This window comes from Homo sapiens, chromosome X (assembly GCF_000001405.40).
Source record: "Homo sapiens chromosome X, GRCh38.p14 Primary Assembly".
In the NCBI taxonomy this organism is placed as follows: Eukaryota; Metazoa; Chordata; class Mammalia; order Primates; family Hominidae; genus Homo; species Homo sapiens.
Window position 1 is genome coordinate 146,946,638 of NC_000023.11, and position 21,916 is coordinate 146,968,553.

The 21,916-nt window shown below is 34.8% G+C and overlaps 1 long non-coding RNA gene and 1 pseudogene across 1 annotated transcript in view; one reads left to right on the plus strand and one right to left on the minus strand.

Annotated features, from left to right (window-relative positions):
• Nucleotides 1–8,674, plus strand: part of LOC101928832 (uncharacterized) — a 100,762-nt gene extending 92,088 nt beyond the window's left edge. Inside the window, exons 3-4 of the long non-coding RNA XR_001755969.2 lie at nt 7,041–7,559; nt 8,432–8,674. This is a non-coding gene — a long non-coding RNA (uncharacterized LOC101928832). The remainder of the gene's footprint in view (nt 1–7,040; nt 7,560–8,431) is intronic.
• On the minus strand, nt 17,301–17,857 carry LOC100419907 (kinesin family member 23 pseudogene; annotated as a pseudogene).

Genomic DNA, 21,916 nt, shown 5'->3' on the forward strand with positions numbered 1-21,916 from the left:
AAATATGATGTAAAATCGTCAATCTAAAAAAAAAAATCTAGAAATCACATATCCCCCTAGCCGTCCTTCTTTTTTTTTTGTTCCTTTTAGATAAAAGCTCTTTAAAATTGTTAACTATACTTGTTGTCTCCATTTCTCTCCTTTTGTCACCATTGGCCCATTTCCAATCAGGTTTTCCCTATGAAGATTTCACTGCACACTTCAGTAATAAGGACCAGTTTTTTGTTTTGTTTGTTTGTTTGTTTGTTTTTGAGACGGAGTCTTTCTCCGTCGTCAGGCTAGAGTGCAGTGGCGTGATCTCGGCTCACTGCAACCTCCCCCTCCCGGGTTCAAGCGATTCTGTCGCCTCAGCCTCCTGAGTAGCTGGGATTACAGATGCCTGCCACTACGCAATAAGGACCAGTTTTTTAAATTCATCTTATAAACACGGTCACTCTGTTTTTGAAAGTTTTACGTCATTTGGCTTTCAGGAGCCCACATCCTGGCTTGCCTTCTGTCTCATTAGTCACTCCTCAGTCTCCTGTGTGGAATTGTTTGAAACCATTTTCCTAGGTGATCATATTTAGTTTTATGTTTATGTTTGCTGGTTTTTTTTTTTTCTTTTTTTGAGACGGAGTCTCACTCTGTCACCAGGGTGGAGTGCAGTGGTGCGGTCTCGGCTCACTGCAACCTCTGCCTCCCGGGTTCAAGTCATTCTCCTGCCTCAGCTTCCCGAGTAGGGGGACTACAGGCATGTGCCACCATGCCCAGATAATTTTTGTATTTTTAGTAGAGATGGTATTTCACCATGTTGGCCAGGAGGGTCTCAATCTCTTGACCTCGTGATCCACCCTCCTCGGCCTCGCAAAGTGCTGGGATTACAGGCGTGAGCCACCGCGCCCAGCCACTGGGTTTTATTTTTTTAGTTTTTGTATCAGTTGGTTGTGGTATGGTATAATTTTCATACAATAAAATACATAGACTGTAAGAGCACAGTTTGATGAACTTTGAGAAACATAGAAATACCTGTAACCACTACCCCAATAAAGTTACAGAATATTCCCATCACCACAAAAGTTCTTTCATGCCACTTCACAGTCTAATACACTTATCCTTCTGAAACAATCTCATGTGACTTCTACCATACGTTAGTTCTGAACATTCTAAAAATTCATATAAATTGAACGACGTACATGAACTTTTTTTTTGCTTGTCTCGCCTCTCTAAAGATAACAGTTCTGTTTGTATGCCTCAGCAGTTCATTCCTTTGGTTAAATACGTAGGATGGGAATTGTTGCACCATATGGTGAGTGCATGTTTAAAGTGTATAAGAAACTGTCTTTTTCCCCCAAAGTCACAAACCATTTTACATTACCACCAGCAAAGCAGGAGAGTTCCACTTGTTCCACATTCTCTCCAACACTTGGTATTGTTGTTGTTGTTGTTTTTAATCTTAGGCATTCTACTGGGTTTGAGGTTATCACATTGCAGTTTTTATTTTCATTTTGCTAATGATTAATAACACTGAACATATTTTCATGTTTTATTTGCTATTTTTATATACACTTTCATGAGGAGTGTGCTCACATTATTTGACCTTTTTTTAAGTTAGTTATTTTTCTTCTTATGTCTGTATTTCAGTAACTATCTATCTGGGTGTATGTATGTATACATATAAGTATACATACTATATATTGATATTATATATGGGTTTATATTATATTATATCAATTATAATATAATTGATATTATATATGGGTTACCCTTACGTATATATATATATACACACACATACACACTAACATATATTATTATATAATTAGTGTTACACTTATATATACACTAATACTTATGGCATATACTTATATATTTTTGTGTACTATGTGTATGTTACTACATGTAGTGGGTTTGTAATATACATACATATATGTGTGTGTGTGTATATATATATGTTGGGACCAATGATCAGAAAATATGTGCACTCTCTTGTCCTCTCATTTCTATTTCTGTCTACAAGTCTGTTGAATATGTCTTTATCTTTACTTCTTTGTCATTATAGTAGGCTGAATATGGCTATGCTTTAGCTCTTAACATTAAAGTATACCTTTTTTTCCCCAAATTGTTACCTATTAACCAAAAAGCATTTATTGACTGACTAATCTTCCTTTCCCTATTTGAAGTGCAAACAATATCAACTCCTATATTGTAATGTTTGCCTGGCTAAATATATGGACCCTCTATTCCAATCTACTTACTTGTTGATAATGCTATACTACCTCATTGCTTTAATTTCTGTAGTGCTAATAATATGTAGCAGATAAATATCTCTCAATTATTTTAATTTTAATATGTAGCAGATAAATATCCTCTCAATTATTTTATTTTAAAGGTATATTCTGGATAGTCTTACAAACTTGTTTTTTTTTTAATTAGTTTTGGAATTATTTTATCAAACACTCCTAGTGCGAACACTCTAAAATGAACAGACATGAAAGAAAGAAGCAAGTTTGTATTGTGATTGAGTATGATCTACAAAATAATCGAGGGAGAATTCAAATCTTTACAATATTGAGTGTATCAAAGAACAATCTATGATTGACAAAAATGTGTGTAGCGCTCTTTAAACCCTCCAAATTCTGCATTTAAAACACAAGAAGTTATGGACAAATAGATTACAGCCAAAATTACACAAATTTCTGTCCTCTGCTAAAACAAAAACCCAAAAAACAAAACAAAATGAAAACACTCATAAACCTACTTAATGTACGATTAGTAGGTAACAGCTAGCTGTTCTCCTTCATCCCGGGGTTAACAACTACTTTTCTCCACTCCTTCATTCACTGCTACTATTCTTCATAACCAACCAACATCACTTCTTGTTGTATCACATCCCAGCTCACTTTCCTGGTATTTTAAATTAGAAAGTGGAAAACACCATATAGGTAATTTTTTACTCAAGAGAACACCATGGCCATTTTATTGTAGAGTGCATTATTAAGTGTATAGCTTGAAGGAATGGTCATGGGAATCCACCTTTCATATTCACAATACTCCCAAACAAAAAAGAATATTTTACCAGGGAAATATTAGTTAATTCCAGAATTGCTCCCATTGCAGGAGGAGATTGCAGATGGAGGTGTTGTATGTGACTGTTTTACATGGATTCTTCGCTCTGGTAGCAGATGTTGAAGAAGCTCTATGAATGTCCTGTCTCTATGTCCCAGGTGGATCTTCAGTTTCTTCCATCTCTCTGTCAACTAAATGCAGTTTGCTCAATCTTACAGTCTTTAGTTACTGCCCCATTGCTTCCTATTGTCTTCTTTACTTCATTGTTTGAATTAGCTGGCCCTCCATGCCTGCTTTGCCATGGCATGTTGTCCTTCAGATTTTTTTAGCTTCATGTTAATAGTGTCAAGCCTCTGATAATGGTAGTAAGTGCAAGTAACATTTATTAAGCTCTTAGCTTATATAACTGAATTCTGATTTTGACATCCCGTGGTAGGTGCTACCATGACCTCATTTTCACAAAAAGAAATAGAGGTTTACATAGATTAAAGCACTGCTCCATTTTGACAGATCATCAATTGACAGAGTGGGAGTTTGTAAACAGGTCTATTTGACTTGAGACCTTCATTATCTTAACCACAACTGATTGACATCTAATATAGACTTATCCCATTCTCTTACCTGCTCTTGCTTTTAGCTCTGAAAGCTTCAGCCCAGTTTGCAGTTCTGTGCCTTTCACTATTCCCTATTTCCACTTATTTAAGATGGGCATTCAAAATAGTACTTTTCAAAACAATTTGACAATGAGACAAAGAAGGGAATATGGTGGTGGCTGGAGGAGGAAGTGGAGTTTAGGTTAATTTTCTTTAAATGTTGGAGATTTGAATATGTTTCCAAGTTGCAGAAAAGATGCCAGGATTGAGCAAGAGAGATTGAACATACAAGAAAAATGCTCTTCTGACTTTGTTTTCCTGTTTATGTTGACAGTCAAAAGTGAGGAAACAGAGGGAAAAAAAGGCAATTAACAAAGATACAAGAAAGTATTTCATATAGCCAAAGGATATAAGTTTCTACATTGAAAAGGGAGGGCTATCAAATGCATAGCAAAAGGAAGGGTCATGACTGACACTATGAGACATCATCAAAAGATTTTAGGATACTAAGGATAAAGAGAAAATCTTAAAAGCTTTCTTTAGCAGTCAGGATGCTTCAGGCTGAAAACAAAAAAAAAAAAAAAAAGAAAAGAAAATTCTCACTCAAACTTGCTTAAGTAATAATCAAATGTATTACCTTACTAAGTAAACGACATTATAGAAGTAGGTTAGGTTCCAGTAATTGAATGATTAGTAGCTCGGTTGAGGTCATCAAGGACCCTGATTCTATCTGCCCGTTACTTCTTCCTGTGAATCTCCCTAAGTCTGCTTTCCTTAATGTTCACAAGATAGCTGATGGTGACAATGAGGGCTACAATATTTCTAGTTCACATACAGAAGAAGATTGAGAGCCCCCTCCTTCATCAATATGCACGTGTACTTTCCTTCAGTATGAGAGGGTAATTTATGCCACACACTCTCTTATGCTGTTTGGCTTAAACTAATCAGGATACCCCTATAAAATGTGGATGGAATAAATATTCAAACAAATTTGGGATGAGTGACTGTTGGATAGGTAATAAAAATGTCTCACAATTTCAGGTGATAAAAACCAGATCATCTGAAAAAAAAAAATAGGATCTGAAGGGTGTTGTATTTCTTAACAGCAGCAGTGGAAGATAAAACAGACTTGAATAAAACTTTCAAAATGCTTAAGAAAAATAATGTCTCATGTAAAATTCTATCCTTATTCTATTCTGATATATTAAACATGAGATAACATTAAATTCTCAGTATTTGAAGTCTCAAAAAGTTACCTTCTAAGTATAATTTTTATAAATTTATCTGAGAATATGCTCCACCAAAGTCACTGATACACCAAGAACAAAGGAGAAATGAGATCCAAGACACAGTGAATCCACATTGAACTAACAGAAAATAAAAATGAAAATCCAGGATAACCGCTGTACAATAGGTCTAGAGGGTAACCAGTCCAAATTGGAAGAGGAGACTATGAGGCTCTAGAAAGGAGGGCTCTATAAAAATAAAAAGGACAAAAATTTGCTACATGAAGTTTATCTTTTTGAAGATAAATCAAGGGATTTTTAAATTATATAAAAGACTAGTTAAAATGCACATGGATGACTAAAAAAATGAAGACATAAATTAGGAAAAACGGAAAGTTGTATAAAAGAGAAAATATGGTCATAGTCTAGTACCTGGTTCTTCAGTGAAGAAATTTTATGGAATGATAATAACTAAGTAAAAAATATATTGGGGTCTCCGAAGGGTCCAATAAAGAGCTCCTTTTTTCTACCTGGAATTCTGACAAATTGAGAAATAAAGAATATTGGATTGGAAGGCAGATACCACTGTTTTTACTTGCAAAAGCAGGGGACATAGACTAGGGCAAGAGGAAGAGCAAAATGGACCTCTAACCAAATGACAGGCAGGCTCCCTCACCCAGTCATAACAACATTGGATAAGGAAGTCCTCCTATAGGAGAGCAAAGCAAACCCTGAAGGAGCACTGGGGAGCAATTCTTCCTGTGGAAGTCTCATTCTGAAGTAAGGCAGAGATGAGTAAAACGTGCTGCTTTATTTATTTTTCTGAATTTATCTTCCAAATGTCATGTACCTCTCCTAGTGTGGTGTGAGTAAAGCAGCAGGATAAAAGGCCAAGAGTAATCGTAATAGGTCTCCGTTCACTTAGAAGCAACAGGGATGAGAAATAGGCAGTCTATAAGCTATCTAATCAGAAATTTGGGCTCGTCTTGGGAGGATGGCAGGGTGTGGGTGACAAATGAGAGTGAAGAGTATTAAGGGAGCTAAATGTTGTCTTTCATAATGATAAAACAATAGAAAATGTGCAAACGTATTGTTTAGAGCTGTAGTGAGTTGAATACCAGATAACATAGCAAAATGGGTTGAATGTAGAAATGTGTGAGATTGTACAGTGGGAAGTGATGGGATAGAGAGCTAGTAATTTTTGTTATGCACCTTCCAGTAGTGTGTATTTATTTTGGATAATTCAAAACATATGTATGTATTATGTTAATAAAACATTAAAGATATTTTAAAAGACTTGTCAAAAACATGACCTTGATATAATGAAAATATTGCCCAAGTATAGCTCTACTTTAAAATCTGAGAGGTAAAATTCAAATATTGTTCTGAAAATGTAAGAGCATCATTACTTCTGGACAAGCAAGAGAAGTCCAAGCTTAATTCAAACCTATGGTTATTGTTACCTAGACTTGCAACCTGCTATGCTTTGTTTGGATTTCACCTAAATATAAAACTGTGGAATTAACATATGCTCTCATTTCTTCATAAATGTTTGTTTACCGTTATATCCAACATGACCAATATATTTTATTTTTAAATTCTTTATTATGAAACTTAACAGATATATAAAAGTATTTGGTTAGTTCATTAAATTAGTTTGTTAGTTTATTAAACTAGTTTAATAAAATCCCATGAACTCTTCTTGCATCTTCTTGACCAATTTTATGTCATGTGTGCCCCCTCACTGGCTTAGTTAAAGCAAATACATGTTTAATTCATCCTTAAATTAAAACCTTAATGTTTTCTGTCCATGGTGTCCAAAGAGAGTAGCCAATTTTTAAAATATGATTATTGCTATATAGGTAGAATTGTATCTTATAGCATCGTAATTAAAATTTGTTTATGAAATGATTTTACACTGTGACAAACTAAATTTAGTACTTCATTGATCTATTTGGTTGATTTGTTTAAATGAAAAATGCCAATATCAGTGACCAAGACATTAATTAGGTATTTTTCTTTTGGATATAACTGTATATAAATATAATTTAAGGTTTTTATATTTTTATTTTTATTTTAGTTTGTCAGTTTCAAATACTCATGTATCTGATTGTCAATGCTGGAGAGCTGGGGCCAGGGCAGTAGTTGATGAATATCACCTGACTGTCTCCTGCAGAAAAAGCATTCCCAGAAGCACGGAGAAGTGAGGAGAAAAGGCAATGCACCTGGAGCTGGAGACCAAGGCCCTGTTCTTACTGATGGCCCTTGGAGCAGATATTTGAATTGGAGAGATAAAACCGTGGTTTTTGGGGTGTTAATTTTGGTGGCTGATGCATTCTGTGATTGATTTGGCTATTACAACTGGTATTGATTTTAAACACATTAATTGCAAAATCTCAATTGTGATTTGATTTCTGTATTTACAATACTAAAAACGAGGCTTTCGCCAGGAGAAGACAATTGGCAGTACTCAGTTGGAAGTGCTTAATTGTTAATATATATCAGCCGTGGTTCTTCAGCGTCGTCAGTGTTGCTCAGTCTTGCTCTTTGTGGCGACTACTGAATGCTTGAAAAATTCTCTCCTATACTCCCACTCTGCACTGTAGAAGAGAAAGAGAGGAGAGTGGAAGAAAAAAGAGAGGGAGAGGAGAAAGAAAGAGAGGAGAGAGAAACATGGGCATGGATGATACATAAGGTAGTTGTAAACTGTGATCAGCTTTGATAATAACTAGATAAATTCTTTTAATACAAAAATATATAAGGCATTTTGCCTTTTTTTCAAATTTCAAATAAATGGATTTGTATAGAATGTAGTCTGTTGCCCAGAGTTTTCATTTAGCATAATGCATTTGAGATTTATCCATGTTGTTGTATATTCTTTTTATTGCTGAGTAGTATTCCATTGTGTGGATATACCAGTTTGTTTATCCATTAACCTTTGATGGATATTTGGGTTTTTTTCAATATGAGGCTCTTATAAATAAACCTTCTGTAATCAGGTCTTTGTGTAGTCACACAGTTTGTTTGTTTGTTTGTTTTTTAAAAAGATGTTAGTATTGTAATTGTGTTTAATAAGAAACTGTTCAGTATTTCTGCATGTCTACCAAAAATACATGAAATGTTAGTTGCTTCTTTTAAAATACTTGGTATGTTTTTGCTTTTTTATTTTAGCAACTTAATATGTGTGTATTATAACCTCATTGTGGTTTTAAATTACATTTTCCTCAGTAACTAATAATGCTGAGCATCTTTTAATGTATTTAATGGTCATTCATATATCTCCTCATGAAATGTCTGTTAAAATTGTATGCTCATTTAGAAAAATCAGGATGATTGTCTTGTTGAGCTTTGAAAGCTCTTTGCATATTATGAATACAAGTTCTTTATTAGACATACATTTTACAAACATTTTTTCCAGTCTTTTTCATTAACTTAGCTTTTGGAGAGCAAAAAAATTTTAATGTGATGAAGTATAACTTATTTCTTGTTTGATAGCTTATAAGTTTCAGTTTTAGGGGTTTTCTTTAAATACATGCCATTCATTTATTCTGAATCTTATATTGATAGATAATTCCAGAAGATTTCAGCATAGCAGATAAAATACAGCAAATCCTAACCAGCACAGGTTTGAGTGACAAACGGGCCGGTTCCATGGACACAGGTGACTTCATCAGGTATTTTCATAAGTGTTTACATGTCTTTACTGTGACACCTTCAGATTAGAGATTTTAAAGGCTTTTAAGCGGTATAAGGTGCTTCCTGGGAGAGTTATTGCATAGCACTTCCATGGCATGGAATAGTATTTGGTGTAGAAGATGAAGGCTAGTTAGCTGCAGCAGAATGAACATTTCTTTAAGAACAGTAGTAAAGAACAGTCCAAGCCAGAATATTGCCTCTGTGTTAATGTGGTGTGCATGTTCCTCGCTCCCTGCTCCCTCCCCAACTCTCCTTCACAGTCTTAGTATTAATAGCGTATCCCTCCAAAATAGTCCGTAAGGTAGAAAAATCATAATACATGTAGCTGGATCTGATTTTTAAAATTTGCTTACTGGGAATAGCTGTTGTTAAGTCGATCTTAAGCATAGAATAATGTCAGTTAGAATCCTACCTGGCTATCCATTTCATAATGATATAGTTAGTTTTGTAACCTGAGGCAAGTTCTATACTTCTCAAGTAAAAAGATGTCATAATTATCTAGGTAATTTAGACCAAAATTTGTTTTGCTTGAATGGAGCAAGTAAGTCTTATGAAAATAGAATAAGACTTCAATTAATTACCCAGGTAATTATAACCTGTAGTTACTGTTTTTAATCATCAACATGTTAACTTTCAGAAGTTCTTGCCTATTTAGCCGATTCACTCTTAAAGCTTCCATGTTCTAGAGGCTGAATAAAATATGAGGGTAGATTGTTGTAAAAGTCATTGGTTTGACCTTTTGTATGCTGGAAACACAGTTGTATATGGAGTTATATTTTATTGACTGGCTAGCAGTACTACTGAGTCTTTTTAGATGTTAATCCTAGACTTTGAATACTATTCATAAGTACCTACTTTGCTTTCTCAGACAATTTATCTGGATCTGTTTCTATGGGCCAGTCTAAAAATAACCTCAGGTCTAAATAGAAACATTTTATCTTTTCGTTCATTTTCACTAAATTTCCTCAAAGTTATTGAGCATGTGCAGTTTATTAACTAGAATCTAATAAGTACATAGGTATCTACAGAGAGGAATGATGTGTATTTAATTTGAATATAAATAACAGCTCAAGAGAGGAAGAATGGGCATGTAAGATTGGTCATTCATCTGACTTCTGCCAATTCCAAACAACTTCCTGTTCAGTTACCATGTTGCAATGAAACAAGTGCCAATGAGTTTTAGGTTTTCAATTGAGTCTGTATAATCCATGTCAAATTAATTTTGAACATGGTATGAGGTAAGAATTTCAATCAGGTTATTTGCATTTCCATATACATTTTAGAAATAGTTTATTAATATCTAAATTAAACTCAAGGTGAAGCAAGATGGCAGAATAGAACGCTCCATCAATCATCCCCATGCCCACAAGGAAACCAAGTTAACAACTATCTACACAGGAGAGAAAAAAAAAAAAAAAACACCTTCATTAGAACCAAAAATATGGTGAACACTCATAGTATCTGGTTTTAACTTTATATCACTGAAGAGATAGAAAAAGCAGTCCAGAATCCCAGATGTCACCTCTCCCCAACATGCAGGAGTGGCGGAATGGTGCAAAGAGTGTCTCTGGGTACTGGGGAAGGGAAAACACAGCAATTGTGAGGCATTGAACTTAGTGCTGTTCTGTTAGAGCAGAAAGAAAAACCAAACCAAACAGCTGATCCACCCACAGAGGAAGTATTTAAACCAGCTCTAGTCAGAGAGGAATCACCTACCCTGGGGATCTGAACCTGAGTGCTTACAAGCCTCACCACAGAAAGCTACAGCACTCTGTGTCTCCAAGTAAATTCGAAAGTCGGTCTAGGCCATGAAGGCTGCAACACTTAGGAAAGTAATAGTGCTGAACTAGGCCCAGAGAGAGTGAACTGGGAGGGTACAAGACATACTAAGACACAAGCAGGGACACCAAAGGTAGTGCTGCCATTACCCCTCCCCTAACTGCAGGCTGCACAATGTTTCTACAAAACATTTATACACTTGCATAACAAGTAAATATACAAGGATGTTTCTTACTGTTACGGGAAGTCAGGGGCTCCGAATGGAGGGACCGGCTGGAGCCGCGGCAGAGGAAACATAAATTGTGAAGATTTCATGGATGTTTATCATTTCCCTAATAATACTCTTATAATTTCTTATGCCTGTCTTAATCTCTTAATCCTGTTATCTTCGTAAGCTGAGGATGTACATCACCTCAGGTCCACTGTGATGATTGCGTTAACTGTACAAATTGATTATAAAATGTGTGTTTGAACAATATGAAATCAGTGCACCTTGAAAAAGAACAGAATAACAGTGATTTTAGGGAACAAGGGAAGACAACGATGAGGTCTGACTGCCTGTGGGGTTGGGCAAAAAGAGCCATATTTTTCTTGTTGCAGAGAGCCTATAAACAGACGTGCAAGTAGGAGAGATATCGCTAAATTTTTTTCCTAGCAAGGAATATAATATTAAGACCCTAGGAAAAGAATTGCATTCCTGGGGGTAGGTCGATAAATGGCCGCTCTGGGAGTGTCTGTCTTCTGTGGTTGAGATAAGGACTGAAATACTCCCTGGTCTCCTGCAGTACCCTCAGGCTTATTAGGGTGGGGAAAAAACTGCTCCCCGGTAAATTTGAGGTCAGACAGGTTCTCTGCTCTCTGACCCTGTTTTCTGTTGTTTAAGATGTTTATCAAGACAATACGCGCGCAGCTGAACATAGACCCTTATCAGGAGTTTTTGATTTTGCCCTTTGCCTTGTGATCTTTGCTTTGCCCTTTGTCTTGTGATCTTTGCTTTGCCCTTTGCCTTGTGATCTTTATTGGCCTCAGAAGCATGTGGTCTTTGTTCTCTTTTTTGCCCTTTGAAGCATATGATCTTTGTGACCTACTCCCTGTTCATACTTCATACACCCCCTCCCCTTTTGAAATCCTTAATAAAACTTGCTGGTTTTGCGGCTCAGGTGAGCATCACGGACCTACCCATATGTGATGTCACCCCCGGCGGCACAGCTGTAAAATTCCTCTCTTTGTACTCTTTCTCTTTATTTCTCAGACTGGCTGACACTTAGGGGAAATAGAACCTATGTTGAAATATTGGGGGTGGGTTCCCCTGATACCTTGCAGCATTGTTTATGATAATATTGGAAACAACCCAAATAGCCAGCAACTAGTGACTAACGTGTTATATCCATAGAATGCAAGAATATATAGTACCTACAACATTTATTGTGTCAAGAAAATATTTGCCTTTCGTTCCAGCTTATTCAATTGTGACAGTTTATTTTATAATAAATTGTCAATACTTTAGGCAAAATTTTAAGATTTGTTGACAGTGCTATGTGAATGTCAGATTTGTTGACATTGCTACATGAATTATTTCAATCAATGAGAGAGTAAAGAAAACAGGCAGGAGTATTTAAAACTTGTTTGAGCATCTTTATAAACTTCTGTTGCTATCTTGAAAAATTTCAGTTTGTCCAACTCAAGTAAGCCCTCCTTTTAAAAGGTCCCTAGATGCAAAAAAAGATAAAAGTGTTAAATCTTTAAGAAAACTGATTTGTTTGAATAAGTAAATTTAACTTGAATTCTCAGTACTCCAAAGCTTCTACTGTTGGAATTTTCTTTTGTGACACCAGAAATTCTCTCATATAATGCTGCCTGCTAAAGTCAGAAGAGGTTTATTTTAAATGTCCTTGTAGTATTAGAAATGTGTGCTATTAATCATGAAAGTCAAGAAAAACATCAGAAAAAATATGAAAGTATTTGAGAAACTGGAAAGACTCAAAGTTTAAGTCCTGTGGTAGGTTACTGGTGTCTGAAAATTAAAGTACCCAATCCTTAGTAAGGTAAATTATTTTTTGGTACACATAAAAGTCTATAGTCAAAATTCAATTTCTTTATGCTAAGTTAATTTTTTGATAGAAGAATATGTTGATCAGAAGGAGCTAGTATGATAGAAAAAAATCAATGAACTTGGGATCAGAAGACTTACAACTAAGTGTCAACTATACCTCTTACTCTGTGACCTTGTACAATTTAATCTCTCTGAGCCTTATTTTTGTCATTTACAAAGCAAAGATACTTCTACCTTCTAAGTTTGACAGCATATAGTACAGGAACTCATGTATTATTGTACCTAAATATAATCCAAGGAGGAATTAAAAAACAACATTAAAAATAGGTCTACTGGGAATTTCTCAGTTCAACCTCAACAGAAAGCATTCAGTCATTTTTCTTAGAGTTATTTCTTAATTATAACTGTAGAATTAGATGGAATAAAGTTTGGCTAGTGTTACTCTGGATGTAATGGTGCTGAGGTGGCTCTGAAATGCTTAAAACAGTGTGTTTCTCAGAAAGCACACAACAGTTTGTGTTTTTGTTTTTCCCCAAACCTGAACAATATATGGATCACACTGAAAGAAAAATATTTCCAGGTGTTGACTTATTTTTATTTTAATGGCTAGTTAAGTACTCACAATCATAAAGCTAAGAATAAACTCATCCCCATAGCTCTTACACACCTATAAAATTGAAACATTTTTAGAAATAAAAACACATTTATGTAAGCAATGAAATTCAAATTCACAATATTAATTTCATATGAAAGATGTTTTTCAACAAATCTCTCCTCACAATACGAGCATGGTAATGACTATTGCTATTGTGCAAATTCTTTCAAGAATTCAACATACCTATACCACCTTGTGTCTTGGGGTAACTCAATTTAAGAGATACTGCTTTAAATTGTTGCTACATTTTTGGAACCCAACTGTTGTGTTACACACTAGCACAGGTGACTGGTTCCCTGGAATCGTCCATGATCTTTTCTAGGAAATTTTCTAAATGGACAGATGTAATAGGGATGCTTTTAAGAATTCCTCACCACACTGATATTCCTGAAGCATCTATAAGCTACGGCTTCCTGTGCACAAAAGCCTGTGATTTTGGGCCTTGCATGCAGTATGTTAGACATATCATATATAATCAGTGTTTCCTCTAATCCATCCTGTTAAAGCGAACTGAATATATCCTGAGGAATACTCTGTATTTCTATATTTGAGTCCTTGAGGACGAACTACAACCTAACTTAATAGGTAGACAAAATTGAAAAGCTAACGTAGGAGTATGCACCTGTAACAATAGCTAAGTTTTGGCCAATCCCAGCGGCCATAATTCAAATATTCATACCTTGCTGAGTGTTCAAATTGTGTTCAAATAAGGCAAATGCTGAGCTGTAACCAATCCATCCATTCTGTACCTCACTACGGATTTCTGTAGGTCATTTCCCTTCTTTTCCTGTATAAATCTTCTTCCACCACATGGCTGCACTGGAGTTTCTGTGAATCTGCTGTGATTCTGGGGGCTGCCTGATTGGAGAATCATTCATTGCTTAAACTCCTTTGAATTTAATTCAGCTGACGTTTTTTCTTTTATCAATCCTCACGTTCTGCTGGGTAACTCCTCCTTTAGACCATATCTGATTCATGTTTATGCCTTAAACACAAACTAGAAAAACTTACTAGCTATTCTTTAATAAATCCCATGACATTCTGATTTTCCAGGTTTGCTTACTCTTCTCTATCTGAAACACTTATCATACCACATCATCTTCCAAGACTTCATTTGAGTCTTATGACATGCCTTGTCATCATGTTCCACACCACAGATATTTCCTGAAATGCTGATTATATAATAATTATGAATCTATCACACTCTTAATACTTCTCTTCCCCTACTCCTTCACTTCATCTCTCTGTCAATAACTTGAAGAAAAACAATACAAATACTCATCTTTCAACCCTGTATTGCTCCAGTTAATAAAGTAATTACTCAAATTAAGCAACTTTTCATATTTATACATAAAAAGACTTTGTTTTAGAATGATTTAACATTCTTTAAATAAAATGAACTTTTCCTTAAGAATTTAAACTGAGATAAATATAAAGCAGGCAAGTTGCTCTATAAGACACTTGGAAATGTGTTGTGTTGTACTACACTGGAAAAAGAATTGTGATTCTCAAGCCAAATTTGTCAAGGATGAGGAAAGGTCTCCCTACATAGGTACAATATAAAATCTCTTTCTTCCAGTAGAGGCTGTAGATCAGTTGGTTTTTTTTATTTTATTTTTTTCTGTTTTCTGTTGGCCATCACAAAAAAGAAATAGTTTTGCTTGCTGCCTAATGACACTGCAATTTTATAGATATGTGGGCAACCGAAGTCTACACAGTAGGATACAAAATTGTGAGAATCAAGCTGATAAATTGTGAAGATCAAAAGCCAGAAAAATCAAGTGGGATCTACAAGAGACATCTGATGGGTCTCAGATGATGTAGTTATGAAATATTATCTGTTTCTTTTTAAAAACAAAGAGTGAATACACAGTTTAACATTTATATTTCAAAACATTTTTGTTCTTTGTGTTTCCATTTTACTATTTTAACTATTTGTTGGTTGTAATGAGGAAGGGAAATGTCACTGAGGGAATATTGTTTTCTTAACACATTTTAGTCTAAATGCTTCTGTTCTGAAGCTAGATATTTGTGATAAAATATTGCCAGAATATTTCTTAAAGAGTCATCCAAGCATAGAAATTATGGATGACACTATTGTTAGCTTTGCATTCAGAATTTCTTTTCAGAACAGAGTCTCAGAAATGTGGATATACTAAAATTCCCTCCTAAAAGGGTAAATACTATTTCTTTTATTGACTAATTATCTTGATGGCAAACAATTTGTCTAATTGAAACATACATAAAATAGGTTTTAAGTGCCCAAAGCTGAAAAAGTCTTTAAAAAACTGTATATGATTATTCAATCATAATATCTAACTTAGTGAGCAATCAATTTTTGGAATTTAGGGGATCAGTGGGCACTATATATAAAAAGTATTGCTACTGTAAATGCTTATTAGTATTAGCTTAAGTGAAAGCCTGTGTCTGAGGTACAGGACCCTTTATAAAATAGTAGAGACTTAGTTTGAGTCTCTGATGAGAAATATAAATATTCTTGTACCATCAAAGTCATTTTATGTTGTAAATAATAGAAGCTTGTTGGCACTGACTTAGTTGAAGGAGACTGAATATGAGGATACTGGCTGAATCATGAATCTCAAGGTGCAATAATACGGCTAAGCTTCAAGTCCTAGAAAGAGAAATTGAAATGCCCACTAAACTTTCCACGTTGTCCTCCTACTCTTATTTCTATGCTTGGTTCATATATTATTTTAATTCTAGCTGTATACAGATCATTTCTGCTTTTTAAGACACAACATAAAATATGGTCACAGGCTACCCCCAAATATACCGGTGACTGGTCCATCTACCTAAAATGAGACTACAATTTAGACTGAATTCCAAATACACAAAAATCTGTTTAGCTACCTACTTATTCTTGGCCAGGGGGACAGCTCATGTCGTGTGGATCTACTTGTAGCTCACCCCTTGGAAAGACAATGAGAAAAGGCTTCAAACAGAGGGAAGTTGTTGAGAGTTGTAAAGAAATGTAATGGTTGCTGAATATAATATGCCACTTTGGTGAAAATTCTGGTTGCTGAGAGAGGTGGAATGAGTACTGCGCTATGGCATATAACAGTTTCACCATCCCAGAGGAAGCAACTAAGCATGCCATTGTACAAATCCATAAAACTGTGTGCAGTGTTGGGAATTACCATTCATTGACCTCCTTATAGCTTCATTTTACTCTTACAGCAGTGCTATGAAGTCAGTATTAGTAAGTTTATAAGTAAAGAAAATAAAGTTCAAAATTTTGAGTTCTTTACCACTGCTAGTAAGTAAAAATAAAAAAAGAATGTACCCCTTTGTGTCTGATGCCAATACCTGTTCTTTATACTCTGCTGCTTAGCAGATATCAAGGTCAGATAGGGTTCAGTGAAGTGCTGGTACGGAAGGTCGATCCAGAAAGTCACAGTGGTGGGAGAGTCCGTAAAAAACGGTTGAGAAAGAGGAAGGAACCGAATTTTTTTCTGTGTTTCCAGATCTGTATATTCTTGTATACCATTTAGCTAATGCTTATGAATAGAGAAAATGGAATCCAGACTCATGGACTAGACAGAATGTCAATCATAATCACAATGCTAATTAAAGGCAGAATCTGCCATTTGGTAAGCATCATTACTGGCCATTATATATGTCAAGTACCTGTTATAAGTCAAGCCAGGGACTTCTCCTAGAGTGAGATTGTAGAATAAGGTAGGATACCTACAGAATCTTGATTACTTAGTTTGATTTACAAGGGTCTACACAGACCAGTTCCAAACAATATTTCTCACTGCATCTATCCATATTCTTCAAATAAACCATACTTGTATTTCAACCGCAACAGATATCTCACCATTTTCTGAACGTATCATGTTCTTTTAATGGTTTAAACACAACCACGTCTTTAATTATCCCTCCCCACATCCACACTCAGAGCACCGTCCTATCCATTTCTGCTTTGAAAGTGTTTACTATCCTTTAAGATTCACGCCACTTCCTCTGTCAAGAGTTATCTGAAATTGCTTTCCCACCATTAGAGGTGAGTGTGACTCACAATACAATGTAATAATCTGTATAAATCTGTCAGTCCCTCTAAACTGTGAGCTCCTTGAGGAAAGGAAGAAAGCATTTACTTTTTCTCTATCCACTGGCAAGATCCAAATATTTATAAATTACCTAGCCAACACCATCAGAAACTTCTCTCTCTCTCCTTAGTGTCCCATCTATGAATTAAGCTATTTCAATGTGGTCATTTTGAAAGCCAGCATGACCTACAACAGTTCTTCATAATTTCAGTGTTTGATCCACACCCAATCACATGTAGTTTGCCTTTCTCTGAAAAACTTATATCTGACTTATATCTGAAAATACGGTTAGTTTGAGTCATAGTATTCATGGGACTGAAAAACATTTTTCTTAGTATTACTGACCAGTTACTGTTATTTGTTTCATGTCTGTGTTAACTCCTACTTTTATTGTATTAACTATTTTGCTTACAACTAGATCAACCAATGATTCTGGATTTAAGGTACTTGTGTCTGTTTCCTGTAACACATTGTTTTCCAATTTATCCAATGGAGACTCAGTTCACTTGAAAATAGATGCAAGAAAGACTGGAATCACAATTTCAATGGAAATTAACAATTTTTGTTTTCTGACATATCCAAAACACTGTAGCAGCTTCTTCCGAAGGTGACAGTATCGCTGCCTTGGTAGATCTTGCAGCATACATATTGTTGATCTTATCTTCACCAAGCACTTTTAACTGTGGTACGTTGGGCTTTTCTGAATCAAATGGAACTTGTTCTAATAGCATGAGGGCGGCATTCAAAACAATATTAGAAAATCGATATACATAAACATATATTAATTTTATTTAAAGAAAGAACAAAATAAACATCATTTATGTTTAATATATTCATTGACACTGGTCTGAATTGACATGCAAATACCTTCATTTCATCTATTTATAAAAGTCAAAGTATCCTTGATACCATAAATGTCTTGGCATAAAAATATTAAAGGAAATAGCCCACAAATTGTAGTAATAGTAATAATGAAGCACAAATAGGAACAAAATGTCAGAACTGACACTTCTCCTCCCTATCAGAACCATCTTCAGATTTATCTGAGTCTGCAAAGAAATGGGGACCTGTTAATATTTTAATAATTAGTAAAAAGTGAAGGCTTTTTGACAGAATTATGCTATTGAGAGAATATTCCAAAGGTGGATGTTTGAAATGTTTTCATCACCATATGCTTATCTTTTTGCCAAAACAATGTAAATGTGTTGCTTATAAAACTTCTGTTATTTGTGCACATTAAAAACAAATTTTTCTAGACAGTTTTCATATTCCAAGCAAATGGTTTTAATGGTTTTAAAATATATTTGATAAACATAAAAATATGACTTCTAATTAGTATTATTTCCATTTGAGAATATAATCAGCTATTTGTTGATTGTCAATAACAACACAATTGACATAATTGGTATTTGGGATTGAAAAATGTATACCATGATATGCTTCCTCTATATGGATTCATGTATCTCTATGAGATTTTCTTCAGATATATCAGCATTAAAACAAGCCTTTAACATCCTATTCAATAAATGGTACTGAAAAAGTTAGCCATATGCAAAAGAATGAAACTGGATCCCTGCCTCTCACCATATACAAAAATGAACTCAAGACGGATTAGAGACTTAGATTTTTGAGGAACCTCCAAACTCTTCTCTGTAGACCTCAAACTATAAAGATCCTAGAAGAAAACCCAGGAAAAACTTTTCTGGACATTGGCCTAGGTAAAGAATTTATGACTAAGACCTCAAAAGCAAACGCAGTAAAAACAAAAATAGACAAGCGGGACTTCATTAAATTACAAAGCTTTTGCACAGCAAAAGAAATAACAGAGTAAACAGACAACCTACAGAATGGAAGGAAATATTTACCAGCTATGCATCTCACAAAGGACTAATATCCAGAATCTACAAACGGCTCAAAGAACTCAACAAGAAAAGAAGAAATAACCCCATTAAAAGGTAGACGAAGGACATGAACAGACATTTCTCAAAAGGAGACATACAGGCAGCCAACAAACATATGAAAACATGTTCAATATCACTAATCATCAGCAAAATGCACATTAAAACCACAATGAGATATCATCTCACCCCAGTCAGAATGCCTATTATTAAAAAGACAAGAAACAACGGATGTTGGCGAGGATGTGGAGAAAAGGGAATGCTTATGCACTGTTGGCAGGAATGTAAATTAGTATAACCTCTATGGCAAACAGCATGGAGATTTCTCAAATAACTAAAAATAGAACCACCATTTAACCCAGCAATCCCATTACTGGCTATCTACTCAAAAGAAAAAAAAAAAAACGCACCTGCACTCGTATATTTATCATAGCACTGTTCACAATAGCAAAGTCATGAAATCAACATAGATGCCCATCAGTGGTAGACTGGATAAAGAAAATGTGATGTGTATGCACTATGGAATACTATGCAGCCATTAAAATGAATGAAATAATGTTTTTTGCAGCAACATGAACAAAGTTGAATGCCATTATGCTAAGTAAAGTAACTCAGAAACAGAAAATCAAACACCACATGTTGTTCACTTATAAGTTAGAGGTAAACATTGGGTGCACATGGACATACAGAAGGGGACAATAGACACTGAGGACTACAAAAGGGCAGAGGTTAGTTTTGAAAAATTACCTATTTGGTACAATGTTCACTTTTCGGGTGATGGCTACTCTAGGAGCCCACACATCACCACCCAAGCAATATATCCACGTATCAAACTTGCATATTACCCCCTCAATCTATAAAAATAATGAATGAATGAATAAATACAAATCTTTAGATTTGAGCTTTATACTAATCTTTTGAATTGCTGTATTATAGATAATTAAACAATGATTCAAAAAGTAATAATGAAGTCTATTTATTTTCTCAATAATTTGTCTCATTAAGAAAATACAATTTTGATCTACTAATGATTTTTAAAGTGGTTTATTTCCTCTTTAGCTCACAAAGTATATTTTTACATGTTTAATAAGACTGCAACTTATTTGCTGTTAATGTATGCACTTTATCCGTAACTATACACACGTTGGTATTGTGAGTGTATGCAAAATTGTTTTAATTTTTAAGCGTATGTGAGCAAAAGAAAAGAATAAACATGGATACAACTGATATAAAGGCTTCAAATTTGTTCTTGTTGTTGTTGTTATTGTTTTTTCTGAGACAGAGTCTCACTCTCTCACTCAGGCTGGAGTGCAGTGGTGTGATCTTGGCTCACTATTAGTAAGGTGCTTAATCTCTCCATTCTTGAACCACTGCATGCCTATTTAGTTACCCCTCCTTTTCCACCCCTCCAAGCATTCTATGTCCCTTGCATTATCCCATGCTCCCATGCCCACCCAATTCTCTGCTTCAATATTTCTGCATAACATAATTCCATTTGTTTTTGCTGTTCTCTTTACGTTCATTTTCTTTATTATATCAGAATCACGCTCAGCCTTCCAAAGCTAGCTCACTGCATCTCATAATGTCTTGTTAGGCATCCACAGAAATGTTTTTATGCATCTATTATAGCTCTGATCATACTTATAGTTATCCTTGTAAGCTTCCATAAATGGCTCTCTTCTCTTATGAGTTCCTCAGAGGCAAGGATCACATCTTACTCATCGGTTTTCCCAGTGTCTAGCATAGTGACTGTCATGGTATAAGCATCAATAAATGGGTCGTAGTGTCTTTCCTCACAGGAAAAGGGAAATTAAATAAATGATTACACTGTGGTTAGAAGAATGGACTAGTTTGAAATGCCACAAGTAGTTGCCTCCAGCTATCACTGTAATAATGTTTTGCTTACATACCACTTTTAATCTTTAGATTCTACACATATAAGTAAACTTTTACACGGGTTCTGGGAATTTATGTGATGGCAATTGGAAATATTCCAAGGATTTTATTGAAATAAGAGGCAGCACAATAAAGTGACCAGATGTTACACACTATGAACATGTACCGTTGGCATCTCATTTTAGTCTTAGCAAAAAAAAAAAAAGAAATAATTTTTCAAAATTGCATGTGGGGTTCACATCCACAAAGCCCATTATTTTCCCACAGGTATCTGAAATAATAAGAATAGGGACAGCGTTTCTTCTACATTCCTAACATACATCTGAAAAGGAATGAGACCACAGGGACACATGAGAAGTGCTCAATAGCTTTGTAGTTGGTTGTAATTTTTTCCTCAACAAATAATCTCATTGCCAGCATTAAAATGCCTGCAACATATGAAGTGAGGGTTGAGCGTCAGCAATGAGGTTCAAATCTGAAACTTAGTTATATCTGTTGTCTGTTTTTAAATTTAATAAATATGGGATTTAATAAGATATAGTAATTATATTTACTTAAAAAAGAGTACATTAGGAGACACTGGCTTAATGACAACTTATCCTGTTGTGAAAGATCACTGGGCTTGGGAGGAGCCAGATGTGGTTTAGAATGCTATATCAGTGCCTTAATAGCTGTTGCTGTAGAATTTTGGGAAAAGTACATAACCAAATCACCCATAACACGTCTTTTTAATTTATTTTCTTATATAAGGGTAGTAATAAGTTCTCCAAAAGGTTATTGTGTTGATTGAGGTAATGGATACATTATTGAGCACATAGAAGATGTTTAAAATTATAAACACAGTATTAAATATGATACTTTAGCTTGTAAATTATGAAGATAAACTTATCTAATAAAAATAAATTTTAATGATTCAAAATAAATGTCTACATTCTAATAAAAATAAGGCTCATGGTAGATTATATTCCCATCCCCAATTCTTCATTCCTCACTTATCCATTT